Source organism: Homo sapiens, chromosome 14 (genome assembly GCF_000001405.40).
Source record: "Homo sapiens chromosome 14, GRCh38.p14 Primary Assembly".
Classification (NCBI taxonomy): Eukaryota; Metazoa; Chordata; class Mammalia; order Primates; family Hominidae; genus Homo; species Homo sapiens.
Genome location: NC_000014.9, coordinates 100720350 through 100741979, shown reverse-complemented (window position 1 = coordinate 100741979; position 21630 = coordinate 100720350). Strand labels below are relative to the sequence as shown.

Genomic DNA, 21630 nt, shown 5'->3' with positions numbered 1-21630 from the left:
ACAATTTTTTTTTTAGTTCTCTGTTTTAAAATCCAATGGTGCAAGTTGCCCCTTGGTTACTTTTTTTCCTTGCTTGTTCTCTTTATCTTATTTGTTCAGATAAACTTCAGAATTCTATTGTCTAAGGACCTAATGCAAATAGATAGCATTAAACTTTTATAAATTAATGTTGGGGATAATTGACAACTTTATAATAGTAAATTTTAATTACTCAAATCCTTATTTTTTTAGCAATGAGTTGCTATTGATATTTAGGTTTTTGTATAGGTAGCATATGTGTCCTACTAACTGACTTCTCATATTTTTCCTTCAGGTCATTCTCTTGAGGTTTTTGGTAGACAATCATCATCATCATTTAGTCTCCTTTCCATGTTTTGCTTTTTCTTGTCTTATTACATGGGCTAGAAGTCCTAGAGCAACAGTGATACTCATTGCTCTCCATGACTACTCATTTGCAGGTGAGGAAGCAAACATGAAGATATTATGGGCCCAAGGGACAGAGCCAAAAGGTAAAGCCAGTGCCCTTAACTGCTGTATAACCCATGGCCTTACTTGCCTTTCGGTTTTACTGACTGATAGGATAGTAAACATTAGTTTAAGACAGATGTTCTTTCTGACATTAAGGAGATATGTACTTGTTTCCTAGTTTGCTGGGATTTATTTTGATTTTATCAGATTCCTTCTGGAACCTATTGCATTGGTATCATATATTTTTTCCTATGACCTGTGCTGAAGTTGAAATTTGGTCAACTCCAGTGTTCGCATCTTTGTCATGGCCATGGCGCCCCAGTGACCACAGCCAGACGCACTTCCGGGTGCAGCTGAGCCACCGGCCAGTCTGAGTGAGCTGGGATCTTCATGTCTCCTCCCCAGCTGTGAGTCGGGGCTGGGCCCTCTCCTTCCTGTGAACAGGATATGTGGGATTCACTGAGTGAGGGTCTTGGCTGGGTGACGTGGAGAGCTAAGGCTTTCTTCTTTCTCAGCTGTGGGAGAGAGTCACTGAAGAAAGAAAGCCACAGGGCCTAAGACCCAAAGCCTATCACCTCCAGGCCCAGGGGCCCAGTTAGTTGAGCTCCTTCCTTAAGCTGCCCAGCTGTTAGCCTGTGTCAGGGTCCTGGACTGGGTCCTGACCACATAGGCTGCCCACAGAGCCCCCTCTCTGTCTTATCCCCAGTCTCCACAGCCCCTCCCTACTCCCTCCTTCTCAGATCTCCTTCAGGAACCTTCCATGCACCTGCTCCAGGTGCTGCACGGGGCCTCTTCCTCTACGTGGAGTTCACTGGGGATTTTTCTGATGCTGCTCCCTAGCCCAGAGCACTGTGCAAAGGCTGCTCACAGCAGTAATCCCTCAGGCCCCAAGCCCGCCCTCTGCCTCTGGACCATCCCCACCCCTGGGCTCTTTTTGGCCACTGGGCCTATAATCGGGGTTTCCTCTCCCAGGTCCAAGCCTGGCTCCAGGGTTGTCTAGTAGGGACTCTAGGTGACCATCATTCTCCCCTCCTTCTACGACCACTCCAGGCTCAACACAACTGCTGCATGTCCTAATGTTAAATTAAACCTGCTTTTCTAGAAAATGCTACACATGATCACACATTAAAAAAAAAAAAAACAAAAACCTGGCTGCAGGCCACACATGGTGGCTCCCATCTGTAATCCCAGCACTTTGGGAGGCTGAGGCAGGCGGATTACCTGAGGTCAGGAGTTCGAGACCAGCTTGGGCAACATGGCAAAACCCCATCTCTACTGGAAATACAAAAATTAGCTGGGCATCGTGGCGCCCAGCTGAGGCACAAGAATCGCTTGAACCCGGGAGGTGGAGTTTGCAGTGAGCCAATATCGCCCCACTGCACTGCAGCCTGGGTGACAAAGTGAGACTCTGTCTCAAACAAAACAAAACAAAACAAAAAAAACCCACAAACAAACAAACAAAAAATGTGGCTGCTTTGCTGTGTTGTTATTTCATTGGAAATTTTGTTTCTCTGTTCAGGGGTGAGGACAGTGACTTTTCTTTTCAAGTTTTGTGATCTTTGTCAGGTTTCAGCCTAGAGGTTCTCCTAGCTCTGGAAATGGAATTGGAAAGTCTTCATCTTTTCCTTTTCTCTTCTGTGGAACAGTTCCTCTAGCCTGAGCCTTCCCCCTCCCTCGAAGGGTCAAATGTGGCCTCCAAACCAGGTCGGCCTTGCCTGCCATGGGGTCTTCCCCCAGAGGATCACTCTGTTCCTGCTGGCTGCATTGAGGAATTTGGAGGATTAATATTTTCCTAGAAAACTCGCCCCTTTCATCAACGTTTCTGCATTTATTAACTTGGGAACCTTCAGTGTGGTCATGTTATTTCCCTAGAGGTTTCAGGACAGCGTCCGTGTCTGGCATTTAGCTCCTGCCTGTCCGTCTTGTGTGCTCTGCCGCATTGAGAGCAGCAGGCAGGTGTGGAGTCGGGGCCCCGGGTGGGTGAGGGTAGGTGGGTGAGATCGAGGGCTATGGGGCTGACTGCCTAAGTGGCAACTCCAGATGGCACATTATGACTCAAATGGGCTGATTTTTCTGAAACAGGAGGTGGGCCAGGAAGCCCCCCACTTTGAGAAATGCAGTTAGGATGAATTTCAATGTCCAGTGTTCATCCAGGAGAGGCCAAACCTTTCGGATCCCGGGATGACACTTCGTCTTCATCAGTCCTAATTGTTGGGGTCAGGAAGTGTTTTGGGTCATACCTCCTGGTTCCTAATTCAGGGTTTTAGAGCCAGAGAGGACCTTGGGTGGGGAGACCAGAGGGACACCGAGGGACTGAGTGGGCCTGAGCCCTAGCTGTGAGGGCTGAGGGTGGAAGGAGATGGGGAGGAGGCAGAACCGTGGCTGCTGTGGTGGCCAAGGGAGGAGGCGGGTATCAGGGGATCCCAGGACCTGAGGTTGGAGAGCTGGAAGGGGTGGTAGCAGCCTGGCCAGGGAAAGTCTGAGAGAGGAAGGACGGGCCCTGCGGAAGGGGAGAGGGGACCCAAACCAAGGGCTGCCTCCCAGGCCACCAGGGCCAAGGAATAAGACCTGGGCTCCTCTGTCCTGGGTTCAGCTGGCCGCTCTGGCTCTGGCATTCTGGGACTGGAATCCTGCGCTGAGCGCACTTGCGTGTGGCCGGGGCTGGGCCTGGGAGGGATGTGCAGGGCCTGCCTGAGGAGCCCAGGGAAGCCCGTCCACCTGCCATGGGAAGTGTTGAAAGGCTGCAAGTCCCCCTCACTAAGTAGCACATAGACTGTGTCCTAGCCCCTCTCTTGGGCGACTGCCCCTTCACTAAGCCCCGGAAGGCCCCACACCAGCGTGGGAGACTTTGACTCCCAAGTTCTTTGCTGGACCTCAGAGCATGGGGGGAACTGGCCCTGAGCACGGTAACTCTCATGCTCCCACATGGACCCCCCTCCCTGCACCTGTCACCTTCATGTCCCAGCTCCATCCAGGCCACCCACAATGAGCCACCTTGGGAAACAGACAGGGACAAGGTCCATGTGGGCCTTGGAGGTCTTCTCAGGACCCTCTGGACAGGAGACTCCCAGGTTCCAAGAGTGTGGTCTAGAAGGGGTGTGCACAGGCCCGGGCGGGCTCACCCCTTAGCCCTGCGGCCTCCTGGCCACATGAGAGGTGCTGGGTGTTAGGCCAAAGCAGGGCCCTGGAAAGCATGAACCCCTGCCCACCCTGCCCGGGGCCTGAGGCCCCTATGGGAGGGGACCAGTGTAGCCTGGCACACGCAAAATCAAAGACGCAGACACAAGTCTAGCCCTTGTTGTTTATTTTTCAATAAACAAGGTTTTTTTGCATGTCTGGACTGGTAGTAAACGGGAAAGCTAAAAAGAGCGCCAAGGACATTTTTTTTAACATTTTGGTGACAAAATTGATACTCCTCTTCCTCCTCTCCTAATTTGGGACCAAATTGCTGATCATGTCTTGGATCGCTGTCTTTGAGCTTTTCCGTTTGTTTCGTAAACTACACACTACACCAGACACACACAAGGTGTGGCTGGGCAGTCAAGGATCCCGACACTCTCAGCAGAATCTGGTGGCCATAGAACATGGAATGACCATTTCTGCATGACGTGAAGACCGTGGCGAGGCTGCTGACACTGCTTCTGTGGCACGGGGGGGGTAGTGCGAGTGGTGGGCACTGTGGAATTTGGGAGGGACGGCCTCATCGGGTGCTGGTAATAGATAATTTGTTGCGTGGGAAGGTGAGATGGTGGCTCTTCTCCAAGGGAGGCGTCTGCTCAAGACCCTCCACTCCCACGGCATGTGACCGGCACCGCGCTGGGCTCCCTGGGGACAGCTGTGTGTCCACCCCCCTCCAGACTGCCCCCTCGTCCTGCCTGCCCTGCAGCTTCCGCACACTGCCTAGTGCTCCGCAGGTGCCTGGAAATGCTTCCTGATCAGATGGGTTGTGGACGGTGAACAAATGAATGGATGGGGAGTTGGTCAAGGATACCTCGACCGTGGGACGTCTTTTTCTTGTTATCAGGGGAACATGGCTGTTCTCTATAGCATCAAGATCGAAAACATAGATAATTTGATCATCTGACCAATCTTAGAATTTTCTATTTGGGGAAACTGAGGAACAGAATCGTTAGCAGGCTCAGTCCAGGTCTCACGCTGAGAGAGGCCAGGCAGGGTACCAGACGCCCGCCTGACACATGCCAACAATTCTTTTTTTTGTCTTTTTAATTTTTTTATTTCTTAAAACAAACTCAAAATGAGATGAGATGGTGACTTATGAATGACTTCGTGGGGAAGGAAGAGGGACTTGGGGCGGTTGTCAGAGATTGGGGTGGAGGACCCAGGGGTTTGGGGTGAGGGAAGGGAGGAGAAGGGTGGGGGTGATAGGAAGGGAGGGCTGGTGGAGACAGGAGGGGAAGGGTGGGGAGAACGGGAGGGGAAGGGTGAGGGTGATAGGAAGGGAGGGCTGGGGAGGACAGGAGGGGAAGGGTGGGGGATCAGAGGGGAAGGATGACGGGGATCGGAAGGGAAGGGTGGTGGGATCGGAGGGGAAGGGTGGGGAGAATGGGAAGGGAAAGGTGGGGGTGATAGGAAAGGAGGGGTGGGCTAACAGGAGGGGAAGGATTGGGGGACGGGAGGGGTAGTGGGGACGGGAGCTGGAGAAGGGGAAGGGGCTTGCCAGTGATGATGGTGGTCGGTGGGGTGACAGGGTTTTTGGGGTGAGGCTGGGAGGGGCTGGGGACGCGTGCTGTGGGACTCAGGGCTGACGGTAGGGAGGGGCCTGGTGGGGACAGAGGCGGGTAGGAGGGGCTCTGCAGAGTGCAGATGATGCGGAGGAGGCGGTGAGGGTGGGGCGGGGCTTGGAATCAGGATGACAAAGGACCGGGAGTGAGGAGACCAATGGCTTGGTGGGGAGAGTGGGGTGTTGGGAGTTTGGGCAGATGCTGGTCGGGCTTTGAGTCAGGATGAGGGGGCTTGGGTAGTGGCTGGAGGACGATGAGGTGATGAGGTCGATATTGTGTCATGACGATGGCGCAGGTGACCAATGGATGGGTGACTGTGAGTTGTGTGTGGGTGACTGATGTGACTGACTGTAGATGACGAAGGTGATGATGACTTAGAAATAAACACCTGGAGCAAGGTAAACACGGCAGGCAATGCTCAATAAAGCTAAGAGTATAGATTCTTATCCAAATAATCTAAGAAGCAAAATATTCCTATCTGGTACCCAAGGGCTGTTTAGCTGTCCAACCCCAAAAGCTGAAAAGCTAAACAGAGCTCTGTCCCATTTCTTTCTATTTTTGCAAAAAAGATAGATGCTCTTTGTTAAAAAAAAAAAAAAAGTCAAATTCAAAATTCAGAAGCTGGCTAGGTCTTTTGAGATCTGAGGATTATTAACTCAGCAACACAAATGTAAACCCATGGCTGTGTGGGCCAGGTCTTGGACCACATTTGCCACAAAACTAGTAAGCGCCCCACAAGTGACAATTTCCACTAATCCCTGTGAAAACCTTGGTGAGGGCTGTGTTGCTGCTCAGATTCTGCCAGGGGCACTTGCGGCTCAAAGTACATTCAAGTCTCAAGGGATGTCTCTATAGGGTAGAGGCAGGTATAGTGTTGGGGTTCTGGGTGGGCAAAGAGGGGTGGGGGAGGGCTGGCTGCCTAAGTGGCAACTCCAGATGGCACATTATGACTCAAAGGGGCTATTTTTTCCCAAAAGGGAAGTGGGCCAGGAGGCTCCCCACTTTGAGAAACACAGTTAGGATAAATTTCAACATCAAGCGTTCATCCAGGATAGGCCAAAACCTTTCGGATCCCAGGATGAGAATTCGTCTTCATCAGATCCCAATTGTTGGGGTCAGGAAGTGTTTTGGTTCATACCCCCTCGTTCCTAATTCAGAGTTTTAGAGCCAGAGAGGACCATGGTGGTCGGTGTTCAAACCCCTCCCTCGAGAGGGGCGAGAAAGTGGGCCCAGGATTGGGATAGGGACTCGCCAAGGATCACACAGCGAGTTAGTGGCAGGGCTGGCACAGAGGCCCGGCCCCCCAGCAGCCAACCTGGGGCTCTCTCTGACTGACACACAGCCGCTGCACTCCGCTAAATCTCAAATCAATCGGAAAGATCTAAAGGTAGCGATGTTGAGCTGGATGTGAGTGCGAGTCGGATGTGGTGTGTGAGAATTAACGAACGAAAGCAATCGTAGCTCTTTGCACAGTGGGTGGTCATGTACAGCACTCGTAACGGTTTCACGAGGACCATGTGGCCGAGACCCCCAGGGTAGGGGCGTCGGCACTGAGCCCTGGTTCTGTTGCCTTGTTTTTTTTTGGTCTTTTTTGAAATTTCATTTGAGTTTAGATTTTAGAATAACATACTTATTTCTCTTACTCATTTAAAGATGAAATTCTTATTATTATTCTGTATCATGCATTAAGAGAGAGAAAGAGGATTGTTTTTGCATTGCGTTTGTCACACAGCAGCACAAAGACAATATATGTAAGCGTAGCGTTCACCAGATTTGACACAAGAGATAGCGAACACCACAAAGATTAGGACAGACCGCGTATAGTAAGCTCTGCGGAACTCCAAGAATCTAGAGGGGGCTGTGGGAACGCTGCTTAGATCTCCTCGTCGCCGGCCTCCTTGCTGAAGGTGGTCATGTCGATCTTCTCGGGGAAGATGATGTTGACGGCCAGGTCCTCCCCGCTGTTGTACTGAAGCAGCAGGTTCTTCTTCTTCCGCAGCATGTGGTTGTAGCGCAGGTTGGACACCCAGGTCTCGCACTTGTTGAGGAAGACGATACCCACAGTGCCCAGCACCACCAGGCTGGTGAGCACGCCCAGGATGGTGAAGCAGATGGCCTGGCCCTCGGTGAGGAGAGGGGTTTTCTTGTTGAGCTCTTTCATGGACACCTTCAGGATGCGGTGCTCCGGCTGCTGCACCGGCAGCTCGTGCACCCCAGGGGTCAGGCGGTAGGCCAGCCCATAGCCGCTGGGCAGACGGGTGACCTGCTGGGGGCTCAGCGCGCGCTTCTTGACACAGGTGAGACCTGTGAACTCGGGCTTGCACAGACACTCGTAGCTCACCTGGGTGTGCTGCAGGCAGGTGCCCCCGTTCTGGCACGGGCTGCTGGCGCAGTTGGTCACCGGGCGGCTGCAGGTCTTGTCGATGAAGCCGGCTGGGCACCGGCAGCGGAAGTCGCCCCCAATGTCAGTGCAGACGCCGTCGTTCTCGCATGGGTTGGGGGTGCAGCTGTTGGCCACGATCTCGCAGAAATTGCCTGAGAAGCCAGGGGGGCACAGGCAGGAGGCATGGGAGGCCCGGCCCTCATCATCCACGCAGGTGCCTCCGTGCTGGCAGGGGGAGCTGCAACACAACAGGGACATAGTAAACGGCCTCAGGGGCTAGGCTACAACAGCGCTGCAGGGCACGGGGCTCAGGGCAGAAGGTCCCTGGCCTGACTAAGGGGCAGGTGCTTAAAACACATCAGGTGAATGAGGGAGCGAGGGAGGGAACGCCAGCCAGGGAGGCACAGAGAGGTGCCCGGGGCCGTGACCCCTGTCTGCGAGAAGCTCACCAGTAGCTCTGGGGGTGGGTGGGTGGGTGCCCACCTCACCCCCATCTCGATGCTAACCTGGGACACACCCGACCTCCCATGCCAGGATGCCCACGTCCTCTCCCACCTCTTACTGCACCTCTCCAACCAGAGGTTAGTCTCCAACCGGTTAGTCACTAGCCAACTGGGGAAACTGAGGCTAGGAGAGGAAAAGTCAGTGACAGCCCAGGACTGGAGCAAGCCCCCTTCCCTTAGCTCCATCCCTGGACTGCTGGGGCAGAAGAACCAAGCAAGGGGCGCCCCTCACTCTATCCCGGGACCCGCTGTCGTCCTTCATGCCTATGTCCACTGTTGCCGCCAACCCTCATTATTATTATTATTATTATTAGCGGTGTGGATCCACAGGCTATTGTGCAGGAAGCGCTTGGGGACTCTCAAAGAGAAAGCAATACGAGGTCTGTCTACGGTGGCACAAGCCAGCGTCTGTACCAGGCTGTTTAATAGTGGTCCATTCACCCAAGTGCAGCTTGCAAACCAAAGCTGTTTGCTCAAAGTGGAGTACAAGGAGCATTTAATGTAAGTGCTTTTAAACGAGCGAGCCCTTTGTCATCCGATAAATGGCAAAACTCCGGGGAAGAAGGGGCAGTAAACACAAGAAATCAGCACTGCTGCTTCAGGGTGTGGGCTGCATGGGAGCTGGGCTCTGAAGGAATTTCAAGGGCCTTAGGCTCTATTTTGACACACTGGTTTAAGTCCATTCGCGAGAAAAGCAAAATATTTTAAAGGTCTCGCTCTGTTTTTCTCCTTCCTGCTAATAAGCAGAAATGGAGTTCAGTCTTCACCAGCCCCCACTCTGACCCCGTCTGAAGACTGATCTTTGGAAGCCCCGTTAATGTCTGTTTACAGCTCTTACAGACTACTGGGGTCTCTGTGCCACCCTGCGATGTCCGGTCAAGATAAGCTTATTTGCATGTTAGCTTCTGTTTCTTCAGAGGAAAGGGACACCCCTGCCCCCCAACTACAGGCCCAGGACTGGGTTCAAGTTTGGATTCTTACATTCGGACCCTGCCTCTGTCAAGATCTCCCTTGGCTTCAGGCTAAGCCCCATCCAGCGGGGAGGGATGGCTCAGGGCCGCCAAAGAGATAATGGGTGGGCAGAGGCTGAGCTGCTGGGAAGCATTGTTCAGGGAGGTCCAAGTGAAGACAGTGGCCACTCTGTCTGTTATGTCCGCTGCCCAGGAGTCCCAAAGCCCCCTTCCCCACTGAGGATAGCCGACAGCTGGCCCACCTCCTCTCGTGCTGGCAGAAGCCCAATCTCTTCACCTCTCAGCCTGGCAACTCCCTCCACAGACATCCCAGAAAATCCAATTGCAGAGCCCACCAGTTCCCCAAAACCACCCCCTGAGATACAGCAAGTGGGTTTCACAAACAGCCTCAGCCCCGCGGAGCTCCAATCTTTTACTACGTTGCCTTTAGAAAATTACGCAGCTCCGAGTGTCAGTTCATCATTCCGATCGACTGTCACTCACACGCATCGGGACTTGAGAACATCAGGGGAATATGAAATCGCCTTCAGGATCATTTGAAAAAATTATGGCAATGACACATTCCCCCGTGAATACTCCCATCCAGGGCGGTCCCCTACGGGGCTGCCAGGATGAGCGCTTACTTCATCTTTTGTCAGACGACAGGTCCAGCAGGGTTAGGCTGAAAGGGTCTTTGGTGGCCGCATGAAAAGCAGCATTCATTAGATCACACACAGGAAGGATATTTACCCGTTGATCACACAGGGCCCGTCCTTTTTCTGGCAGTCCTTTCCCGAGTACCCGGGGGCACAGGAGCATTCATAGAGGCCATCGTCCAGGCTCACGCAGGTCCTGTTGTTGGCACAGGGGGCCGAGGAGCAGGCCCGAACATCTGCGGGGTGACGGGGAAGACGAGAACTTAGCTTCCTCTCCATACACGAGCGTGATGCGGGCCCCAGTGGGCTTTAAAATGGCTCTATGGCCACCGAGTGGGGTCTGGAGTAAGAGGGTTTAGGGAGCCCCCTCAAAAAAACCCATGAAGTGAGTAAGCTGAGGCTCAGGAAGCTGAAGGGGTTTCCTTGCCTAAGGTCACAGATCAGAAAGTCGTGGCCACTGATATTCAGGCCAGGATAGCTGTTCCCTTTGCCTGGCACCAGGTCACCCCATATCCAGCGACATGTCCGTGACGTTCACTGTGGACATCATGCCCCTCCCTGCAACAGCGTGCCTAGCTGAGATTCCCTAAGGCCTGTCTCCACCAGACAAGACTGCATCTCCACCCTCTCCTGTTAGGGGAGGGGTCCTGGCCAGCCGGGGGATGAATACAGCCCAACCCTCAGAAAAACCACCAGCTCTTCATACTTTTCCATCAAAGAGGGGCAGTGGGGGGGATGGAGATGTAACGACCCCCCTCCGTCAGGAATCAAGAAACCTGTTAACCCCAGCACTACCACGTGTCCCTGTGGTCTCTCTTTCTGCACTCAGGCTCTGAACTCAAGGGGTCCCTGGTAAAAAGGCTTCATCTTTTAAAGCCAGGGAAATTAGAACTATTGAGCGCTCTCCTATCAGCACAGGTTTCCATGAGCACTGGTATATTCCCACCATCTTTTAACACCTTCCATCACGCACACTTCATTATTCAGGTTCAGCAAGCCAGGGATGAGCTGAACACAAGGGCCTGAGTCAGGGGCTCTCTGATGATGGAGACCCCAGCTCCCCAGTGGGGCCAGGAAGGGACCCCTGTCCTGCCCTGTATCCGGCCTGCTGCCATGTGGCAGCAGAGTTCAGCTCCTACCCATTCTGGGCCTCAGTTTCCCTACTTATAAAAAGAGGGTCTTTCCCTGGCCAATCTCTGAGGGACTCTTCAGCTTTGATTTTCTATAATTTGAGCTGCTGTACCTGCCAAACAGAAAGCCAGGGCCAGTGAGAGACACAGCAAGCTAAGGCAGGCTGGAGGGGGTGGGGGGAGGGGAAATCCCCCGTGCTGAGGCCACACATGTGCGTATTTTTTCCCCCTCTCAGAGAGACCCACACCCTCGTGGAGGGGAGACTGCAATCAATCAAGGAGGAAGAGCCTGAACGTTGTGTTGATGGACTACCCCGTGGTGTTCCATGGAAGCCCGGCTTGGTGCAAGGACACATAAAGAGGATTTATCTTTACGGGACGGCACCGGCAAGGCATTAGCACGTGGCGCCTCCGCGTCAGGCTCCTTATTCTCTGCACCCGACTCTCCTGTCACTCAGAATCTTAAATTTAAGCTAAAAAGCTGGCGACCACCCCCAGCTTGTCCCTGCAGCTCTCCCTGCTATGCCAATCCTGGATCAGCCCTCCTGAGCCTCCAACCCCAAGACAGGGGTGAATTAAGCTGCTCTGAGGAAAAGGCTGCTTGGGGGTCTCTGCTGGGACAGCAGCTGTGGCCACGACAGCCTCAAAGATGGGCAAAAAGGGAGAGGGAGGGCTATGTCTTCTCTGGGACCCCAGACTCTCTGGCCATCCCCAAGCTGGCTGCCTTTGTCAACTTGGTGGGGAGGGGACATACCAAGGGCCCATGAGAAGGGAGGCATTTGTCCGGAAAATTTCAGCAAGGGTGTACGGCATTTAGATACCAAAAAGATGGGCTCCAAGCTAAAAGCCTAACCCTGATCCCAAATGGTGGCTTTGCTGGAATCCCCCAGATCCTCAAACGACTCAGAGCTGCTGCCGCTGCTTCTGTGAGGGGCAGCAGAGATGCTGGCCAGAGCATGAGTCAGCTGCGGGTAAACCTTGCACCATATTGCAGGGGCTGGAATTAAGGACCAGAGACAATTTGGGGTGGGAGGGAGCTCAGCTTCAGAACCACGGCTGCCCTGGCTGTACAGGGCAGGGGCCACAACAAAATGCTCTTAGGTGTTCCTTAAGGAAGGATGTTAGATGCAATCGAAGATAAAAATTAACTCTCTTTCTGGGGCTGGGGGAAAGGGTTGTAGCTGGCTTTTTGCCCAACTTCTTTCATATTCCTTAGCAGACACTTGTGCTTCTCTGATCCTCAGTTTCCCTATCTGTACCGTCTTTACTAATGTTGGGGACTGAGGGACAGGGGCCCTGAGGGCAGGCTGCTACACAGCTGGGAGTTTTTTTGTGGACTTCAGTTTGCTCAAACGTTAGGGCTGGTTTTGCCAAATGAAAATGGGCTTAGACGAACATTTCGCAGCCTGAAAATGCAGTGACAGCCAACTCTCAATTGCTTGGGGTAATGGAGGCAAAGATTGCATAAATTAATGAAATCAACAGATAACACCCATCTTCACTTTAACCCTTTCTCAGCTTTTCCCAACTGCAGCCTCCCCCTACACCTGACCCACTCAGTCCAGGCCCCCCAGCCCTGTCCTCCTGGCCCTGACTCAGCACCTGCCCCTCAACCACTGAGCAGTGCTGGCCACCCCCCACCCCGTTTGTTTGTTTGCAGCCTCTTTACAGTCTTGCGTGTGCTTTTCTAGGGAGTCTTAGCTCTGAGATCCCCAGAGCCCTGTCCATCACTGGGCTTCCATGACCTGGACAGGCAGCCTGGGGTCTGTGGTCCCACCGGCCCAGCTGTATGTGTATTTTGTGACTCTTTATTCAACAGGCAGCTCCCTGGCCCCCACGCCATGTTCCCTCTAGGTGCTGGGTGCTGATGGCGCAGAGAAGAGCAAAATAAAGTCCCTACCTCTGAGGAGGCATTCGGTACCCACAGGAAATTTATAAACAGATCTTTAGAATACAGGGCACGGAGTGTGCAGGAATGAGGAAGTGAGGAACACCAGCAACAGGAGACTGGGAGGAGGTGGTAGGGGCTAGGGCAGGCAGGTAAGGACGCAGAGCTGAGGTGAACAAAGGCGAGTGCCAACCTCTATCACAGAGCTCCCCGTCCCAGCCGTCGGTGCAAATGCACTGCCCGGGTTCTCCACAGAGTCCGTGAAGGCAGCCGGGAGAGGTCACGCACTGGTCACAAAGGGGACCCTGCCAGCCAGGCTGGCACCTGCAATGGGTGGGGGAGAAAGGTGGGGACATATGAAGAGGGCAGGGGTAGAGAGGCAGCTCAGGCTACTTTCTGTGGAACCAAGGACCCTTGGGGGTCTTTGCACAGTGGCAGCCGGTGGTCCTGGGAAGTAAACACCAGCCACCTGAATGGGAAAACTTAAAGAGAAAACATGCCAAGCTGAGGGGGCCGACTTGGAGGGGCCCCGAGATCCCGGGGGAGTGCTGCGTTTTGCCGCAGTGGCCTGCAGTGGTCCCACCTGCCCCCCCACCTCTGAGAACGCAGACAGGAGCTGTGGCTGCCCCCCCCCCGCCCCCCCCATCTCCCCAGCTCGCCCCACCAGTTTTCTGCAGGGGCCCGGAAGCTGTTTGCTGCAGCGTAGTGGCCAAGCCCCCTATTTTTTTCTGCCTGACTTCACGACTCCCCAGGCTTCTGCGTGGCCCCTACAAGCTGCCTCTGAGGAGCCACTCTATTACCTGCAAACATTGTCATCCTCGCAGAATCCATTTTGGGGGTTGCAGGCCGGGAAGCATTCAGCCCCTGAGGTACAAGAAAGGTTATACAATTCACCCCACCAGGCCCCAGGCCAAGGCAAAGGCTGTCTTCGCCCACACAGCCCACCACTGCCCTCGAGGGCACCAACAGCCCTCTTGGGTCCTACCAGCCTGGCACACAGTAGGCACTTCCTATCCGAGCATGGATGGGGCTCAGTGCACTCAGGAAAAACATCTCTGCCACGTTCCCAGCAATGAAATGACCACAGTACACTCTCCCTCGTTCTTAGGAGCAGGAGAAACACCTTCTCCTCGGACTCCCAAAAGCAAATACGACACCTCAAGTCCTCCTAACAGCGGGGACGGGGACCGTGGAGGGAAATATGTTGAGCCCTGGGCATGCAGCCTGACCGTCACTTTTGCAACCTGAGCTGAAAAGAGGAGCAGATTTTGAGGTGTTCAACTCCGGGAAAGCCCAGACAGGTTCACCTGGTGGGCGCCCCAGTAAGGCGTCTGCATTCTTTTTAAGGTTCATCCCTATTAAGCCGGGCACCCAGGTCAAATCTTCCCTCTTTCCCCTACCCCAGACTCTTCGCATTAAAAAAACGATGACGACACAGGGTTTTGCTTAGCGGGCTGAGGTTGCAACAACACTGCTTAGAGATTCTGACACTTTAACAGGCACCTACTGTGTGCATTTACTCAACCAGCTCCCCAGCTTTCTAGACAGCCCCCTTACAACCACTGGTGCAATGAGTGGGGGGGCGCTGCAGGAAGGGGGCAACTCTCTCGCTGTCAGAGACAGATGGCCGCTGCAGACAGAAGTGTCGCAGCCCCTCACCTACAGAAACGCGCCACGCAGGAAGGGCTCAGGCTGGGCTTCTCTGGGAATTGGGGGCTAAGACGGCAAAGTCGTCCCCCACTCCCGCCCCGAGACCTGTTCCAGAACGCTCACACAGGGACACCCCAAAGTTGCACCCCAGAGTATTTTCATAGAAGACTCCACAACAGCACCCCATTTTTCCATACCTCCTTGCTCAGCGCACCGACACCCCTCTGGCGCCACTTCTGCAGGGCGGGAAGGGGCTGGGGGTCTCACACATCCCCTGCGCCCTGGGACCCCTGGGACGGGCCTTGGCATGCGAGCGTGGTGGGTAGGGCGAGACAGGCACAGCGCGGGGCTTAGGGCTAGGCGGGACGGGCGGAGTTGGGGCTCACGAGACGGGGCGTGCGGGGCACCGGGCGGCCGGCGGGGAGTCGCAGGCTTCCCCAGAGGGGGCGCGAGCCGGGCCGCCGGGGAACTCACCATAGGTGCTGTGGCCGAAAGCCAGCAGGAGCAAGAGGACGCGCAGGAGGGCTTCGGTCGCGGTCATCTCTGGGCGGCCGGGGTCGCGGTCCCGGGAGCGGTGCGGGCGCGGGTCCGGCTCCTGGCGCCGCACTGGGCTTCTGGTTGCGGACGCGAAAGGGGGCGCGGGCGCGCAGCGAGGGGAAAGCCAGGGCTGCACCGGGCTGCGCGCTGCGCTCTCCACCGCCGCTGCCGGGGAGCTGCCGCCGCCGCCGCGCGCGCCGCCCTTTTCGTACCGCCTCCCCCCTCGCGGCCCCCGCCCCCCGCCCCCGCCTCCGTGCGCACGGGGCCGGCGCCGGCCAGTCCCTGTGACCCCCTCCCCTCGCAGGGCCGCCCCCGACCACGGCGGCGTCCCAGAAGCCCGCTCGCGCACACGGGTGCACTCTTGGCTAGACGGGCACAGGTATCCCGCGAGCGTTTGGTACACGTTCCCTCACACTGTACAGCACGCGGCCGCCGCGCACATACAGGCCTGCCTAGGACAAGTCGCAGGAATCGAACCTGGGCCGCAGACCTCCCCGGAGAGCACAAATCCGCACGCAGGAACACCGAAACACTTATCGCTGAAGTCCCGGGCACACGTGCAATGGTTAGATACCCAGGAAAACACAAAGGCGCACTATGAAGATGTGAACTAAGCACATAATTACACACGCACACAGAAAAACCCCCAGGAAAAGCCCGACGCCCCCTGTACCCCTGGCCATGAAGACGCAGAAAAATGCAGTTGCCCCGTGGCAACCCACACCCCGCAACGGAAACGCACACGGCAACTCAAACACACTGTAGCCCAGACGCCGTATAGACACAGTCCTAGGTGGCAGAGGGTCAAGCGGACCTGCGGTTACCCAACCATGGGCATCCTCCCCCATGTGCCGACCCCCTGCACACAGACGCTTACGCAGAGCCACCTGCACACCCAAACACGCAAACACACGTATAAACAGACGGACACCCGTGCCCGCATTCAGTCACACCCACCCCCGCACACACAGCATCTCAGTCAGGGCCTTAGCCGCGCTGAAACACAAATGCACCGACTCTTACGCACACATGTACGCACAGCCATGCACCTGATACCCACAAGCACACATACCCAGCTGACTCGTGGTCACACACACTGACAAAAACATATACGCAGTCCCCACACACACACGATCGCATCTGTCTTTGTCCACAGTGGCATGCATGGGCAGCCTCACCAATGTGCTCTCACATACACACAATAGCACTCCAGGCACTCGGCACGTATTCCAGACTCACTGGGAGACCTTCTCTGAGGGGTCGCCCGCTGGAGAGGTGGAGGTAGAGGATGCTGATTGCCAGAGACCCTCTTCCTCTGCAGAGCTCCCAGGGAGAGGGAGTGCTCCTCAGACACCCCTCCTCCCCATTGCCCCCGGCTTAGGCTTAGAGCCCTGCTGGAGAGGAAAGCTCTGCACCCCTGCACCCAGTCTGGATGGGGGAGGCTCAGAAAGATAGGGAGGGAGAGGGGTAGGAGGGGATTAAAGATATTTCACCTCCTGGGGGAAGGGTCCCAGGCGTCCCAATCTTTGGGTGGGTCGTTTAGGATACTTAATTTGCATATATTAATTTGCATACATATCCTAGATGCAGGGAGTGGGTGCCCACCCAGCTCGCGGCCTCCCCTTCTTCACAGTGCTGCAGGGGGGTGTGATCTCACCACTGTGAACCTGGAGGCTGGATGCTTTGACCTCCTGGCCCTCTAGTCCAGCCCTGGCAGGTCTGAGCACAGATTTCCCATCTTAGCCATAGATGTGGGAAGGCAGGCCCATGGGCATCCCCAGGCCCACCACCCCTAAGTCAGTGCTCCAGTAAGGCACTCGGGATGGGTACAGGGATGGACAGAGACCAGAGCTGCTCTGGGCTGGCTCCAAGGAGGCTGGAGGGAAACTCCCAGCCCCTGGTGGAAGATATCCCTTCCCTGATGTTATCTGCAGAATGCCCAGATAGGTAGGGGCTGCTGGGAACGGCTTTGGGGACAGGCTGTAGGGAGCAGTTGGGGTGCCCACTGTGTGCCTGCCACATGCCCTTGCATTCCTGTGACCCTACTTTCTTCCGTGGACTCTTTCCTCAAGTCAAGAAACCAACTTCAGTGATGGAAGGTCCTTTGCCCAAGGCCCTTGGCCTAGAACGAGAGTGTCTGGCTGACAGGCCCAACCCTGGGTGCCAATGTCCACTGCATGGTGATCGCCAAGGTCTTCCTGACCAGGGTTCCTCTCTTCCCTCCCTTCGAGGCCCCTGACTTCAGCCTCCAAAATTATCCCAACAGCAGGCAGACCTGGAAGAGCTGAGTTCTCAGCCAGAAGCCAAGGAGGGGTGGAGGATCTCAGGGCTGGGTAGCCCTGGGGCAAGGGCCTCCCAGGCTCTTGCCAAAGTCCCGCAGAGAGGAGACTCCCTGGACTGCATGGAGCACTTAGGGGGCCCCAGTGTCCCCACCCACACACATACCTAGACTCCTCCCTTCCCCATCCAGGTTCTTCCCCCTTCCCACCCCCGCCCCCAGCCCCACCACAGCCCTCCCCAGTTTAGGAAAGGGAGGGAGGCCAGAGGAGGGTATTCTCGCCCAAGGGAGTCTGTCAAAATGTCACAGGCTTACGCTGAAAGGGCACTGCCTTGGCTTGGGGGGCACCTGCTCTCTAATCCTATCTCCATTTCGTGCCCACCAAGGGCCCAGTCTCTTCCATCTGTGAGCCCTGTTTCTTAGCCCATAAACAGGAATGTCCCACCTGTCTCTGAAAGGAACTCCGGTTTTTGTAAGCAGAAAAGCACTGTGCTGACAGGGCCTGGTCACAACCCCTTCCAGCCATTCCTCCAACAGCTGCACCCCAGAGCCCTTGCCCCCGCCAGCTAGAGGATCTCCAAGGCGGGCACCCAGGCTCCACTGGACCCGGGCCCTCTTCAAGAGCCCCATGCAGGGACACTTGAGGGATGGGAGGGGACTTTCTTGTCTCACAGGACCTACAAGCCAGGAAGATTTCTGTTGGCTTGCTCTAATCTTAATAAAGCGTTTGTAAATTCAGGAGGCCGGAGCTTTCTTTTCAGCAAGCAGACACTGAGAAAGGGTAGCTTAGGAGCGGTAGGGAGGGGAGGTTGGTGACTGTCACAGACTTTAAGTCTGCACAGAAGGCGCGAAAATGCCAATGTAGTCCCTTGGGGAGAAGCGGTACAGTCTGCCATTTGCAAGCAGATCCTGGGGGCTGTGGAACGGCAGGCTGGAGGAGCTGGACGCCCCCTCCTCTATCTGCGCATCCCTCCCCTCCTCCCCCCTCCCCTTCTCTCGAGAGCCATGCTCCGTGTACAGGCCCCCGGGATTACAGAGATGAGGCCAGCAGCCCGCAGGTCCTCATAGCATGGCGTGGCAGGCGATCTACACAGGTTGCAGGGACTGGACCTGCCAACTCTGGGGCCAGATCGAGATGCATGAGCTGGACTCCCTCCCTGTAGCCAAGCCGAAGGCTCTGCCTATGGCCCCGCACCCCGCAGGCAAGAGCCGAAAGCAAGGGGAACCTGTCCGGAGGCAGTGTTGCTGGGCTTTGCCGGGGCAGCAGAGGAGCTGGTGATGAGCAAAAGTTTTCCGAGGGAAGGAAAGAAGTGTTGTCTCCAGCCCTTTTTCCTCCCCGCTCCTCTGCTCTCCCCTCCTGTCTGCTCCCCCTCCTCCTTTTCTAAACACTAACTCTTCCTCCAGCCAGCCCCAGACCACTTCGCCCCTGATTAAAGGCAGAAACACTGATCAGGGCAGCTCAGCTGGGTGGAGCTAGAGGGGCCTCTGAGACTTACTAGTCCCGGGCACCAGCGGGGATGGGAGGGCAAGAGCAGGGGTGGCCGGCGAGGGGGCTTCACCCCACCTTCACATTCTGCTCTGCTCACCACCCCCACAGCCTCGGTGGGGATCTCCATGCCTTGAGGCTTTGCTTCTGCCTAGACTAGGTTTTTTTTTTGGTTTTTTTTGTTTTTTTTTTTTGCCGGGGTGGGGGGATCTGAGCCCCCACTGATCCAGTCCTAGTGGGCATCCTACAGACAAGAGATGCCTTTGTCCCCTGTCCCCACACCCAACGTTCTCCATCCTCCCTCCAAGAGAGAAGGAGGGTGGGCTCCCCCAGATCTGCCTGCTCTTCCTCCCCAAGGGACTGACCAAGGCGAGGACCAGTGCCCAGAGACTCAGGTGGCCTAGTTAGAGTCCTAGAACCGGAACATCCAGGAGACAGCTGGGCAGGAGGCTCCCCCGCCAAGAAGCCACCATCCCTGTGTTGAGGGCTTACAGGCAAGCAGGCATTGCCCTTTCTGCATCTCCCTCACTTCTCCCTCGGATTTAGACTCTAATTTAACCCTGTCTCATCAGAGCCTCCTCACGGCCTGGGCTAGGTGGGGACTGCCCAGAGTCCACTGGGCAGTGGCTGAGCACACTGAGGCTGGGGGACCCCAAGAGAGGTGCATGGCTAACCAGTGGCAGAGCTGGAATTTGAACCCGGGTCTACTCAAAATCCCAGTGCAAGGCTCTCTGCCCAGCCCAGCGGGGTGGTTAGAGTGCATGGAGCCTGGAGGAAAGTGGGCTCCCCCAGAAGCCTGCCCTCCCCTCCTTGGGTGGGAGGGGGAAGCTTCACAACCTGGGAGGCTGTGAGGGTTTCATGCAAACACCAAGGAGACACGCAGCTGCCACCTCTCGGAGTATTTTTCCAAACCTGAAGCTCATCTTTGGAGACAAATTCTCTTTTCTTCTACCGAGGAGAGGGGACCTGGGGGCAGAGGGTGGAGGGAAATGAAAGACATAACCTGATACATTTTCCAGAACATGAAGGTTTGGTTTCAAGTTTAATCAGAGAAAAGGTCTTCAGTGTGAAGTGGCATCGTGCTCAGCCGAGCTGGGAGTACGGCTGCAGAGGGACACATGCTGAGCCTGGCCTTGTGCTTGGCGCCTGAAGAGGCGTATGACAGTTCCAGGCCCACTCCAGGGTTCTCCAGGGCGGCAGGGTGCTGTGGGTGGGGGCGCAGAGCCAGCCCGTATCCCCGAGTCCCCAAAACAGGCCTGCGTATCACTCCCCCAGGCCCCACAGCAAGCTTCTGGGAAGGAAAAATACCAGAGAGCTGGGGTGCAGAGGGGACTCATTGGTTTGGGTCTATATTTAGAGTTGGCTTCTGTGGGGTCTCACCTCTCCCCCAGACAGAACCAGTTTCTCGTCATTGCTGATAGGATTTAAAAACAGACTTCTCGTTTCCTTCCTTGCCATTGGAATCAACAGGGATGTAAGTCCACAATGTAATTGTCCACATCATCAATCACATGATCCTCTTACAGAGCACCACTGAGTCATGCTGTGCGTGGGGTGCTCCCAGGGGCTTGGAGGGGTTAATAACAACTCCCCACCCCACCCCAGAGCTTGTAGATAGACTCACTCCCACTCAGGAGGGAGGAAATCAGGGGCCGGAGGAAAAAGGGGCCTTTTCATCACTCAGCTTGTCCACGCAGGCTTTGGCCAAAAATGCAGGAATTCATTCATCAAAAATTCCCAGAAGTTAATTTTCCATAAAACAGAGGCTCACCTCTTTAAATGTAGCCTTTCATCTGCCTGGTATTGACTGAGCTCCTACTGGGTGCCGAGGCTCGGCGGGGTCCCTGGAAGGAGGGTGCAATGATGGATTTGAAGGTGGTTTCTCATCTCAGAGAGTTCAAGTGCGGACCCAGTGCTTAGACACCCTCTGAGATGCAGGGTTGTGGATACTGGGACTGGCCACACATGGGAAGGGCGATCATGCATCTCTCAGAGGGTTAGTCCTCAGCTGTGTGTGCAGAGTACACAGAAGTTCTCCAGGAGGGTATGGGGAGGCCCTTCCAGGCAGAGAGAGCTGTACAGGCACAGATGTGTGAACGAGACATGAGTGTGTGTATGCATGCACATGAGATGGCGAGGAAGTGTTGGCTGTTCTGTTAGTGAGGGCAAAGTTAGCATGGTGAAGAATGAGGCAGAATGTTGCAAAACTTTCAACATTTCGGACATAAATCTCTTAACTATTCTCCAACATTCTGCAGCCTCCTTTGCCCTGGCAAACAGTCCACGGAACAAGAAGCCCTCTTTTGTCATACCAGAGTCAACCTTCGCACATGTCATGCCCAGACTTGATGCTAAGTCTTGGGAATCAGGCTGGGCCACCCGACCCTTCCCATCCAGTGAGGCACCAGCCCCCACCACCTACCTCCCCAGTAGGGCCCAGCTCGTGGAGACCTTCAGAGGCACAGGCAACACACCCTGTGATGACGTATAAAGAGGATACTTCCTTTAGCCACAGAAGAAATCCTTTTCTCAAGCCTGGATCCCCTGGGGAGAGCCCTCATCCCAGCCCCTGCTTAAGAGTCTGTGGGGTCACTGTGGCGGAATCATAACCTCACTGCGCGCTGAGCCTGTGAAAGGGAGGATGAGCGGCGCGGCACAGCCCTCCACACCTGTTCGCAGGCAGCTCTGTCAAGTTTAGGGACGTGAAAACACACAGCTCTCGAGGAATTTAAGATGTTCCCGTACTATATTTATTCTCTTATTTGTAAGGAAGCATTAGCATTTTCATTCAATTATATTTTTTAAAAAAAAGATTTTGGTATCCTACTGTGTTCCAGGCGCTAGGGATTTCCTGCGAAGGAAGACATTGCCCAGTCCCCAAGGAGGGGGCAGGCACAGGTGGGAGGTGAGAGGGACAGAGGTTTGTTCCTGTCTCACCTCCTCCTCCAAGGCCTTTCCC

The 21630-nt window shown here is 55.2% G+C and overlaps 1 protein-coding gene across 2 annotated transcripts, besides 1 other annotated feature; it reads right to left on the bottom strand.

Moving 5' to 3' along the window:
• DLK1 (delta like non-canonical Notch ligand 1) lies at nucleotides 3756-15088 on the bottom strand. Of its 2 annotated transcripts, NM_001317172.2 has the most exons (6): nucleotides 14845-15088; nucleotides 13521-13584; nucleotides 12914-13044; nucleotides 9797-9938; nucleotides 7552-7831; nucleotides 3756-7332 (listed from the first exon to the last, which is right to left on the bottom strand). In NM_001317172.2, the coding sequence occupies exons 1-6, from the start codon at nucleotides 14909-14911 to the stop codon at nucleotides 7084-7086; spliced, it is 933 nt and encodes a 310-aa protein (NP_001304101.2). In that variant the 5' UTR covers nucleotides 14912-15088; the 3' UTR covers nucleotides 3756-7083. The 2 variants fall into 2 exon arrangements, with proteins under 2 accessions (NP_001304101.2, NP_003827.4); NM_003836.7 differs by having other exon boundaries at nucleotides 3756-7831.
• Nucleotides 7345-8112: an enhancer, noted in NCBI's record as "H3K4me1 hESC enhancer chr14:101200205-101200972 (GRCh37/hg19 assembly coordinates)". NCBI's record gives its function as "activates a minimal SCP1, AML or CMV promoter by ChIP-STARR-seq in primed H9 embryonic stem cells {active_cell/tissue: H9 hESC(primed)}" and the evidence as "EXISTENCE:reporter gene assay evidence [ECO:0000049][PMID:30033119]".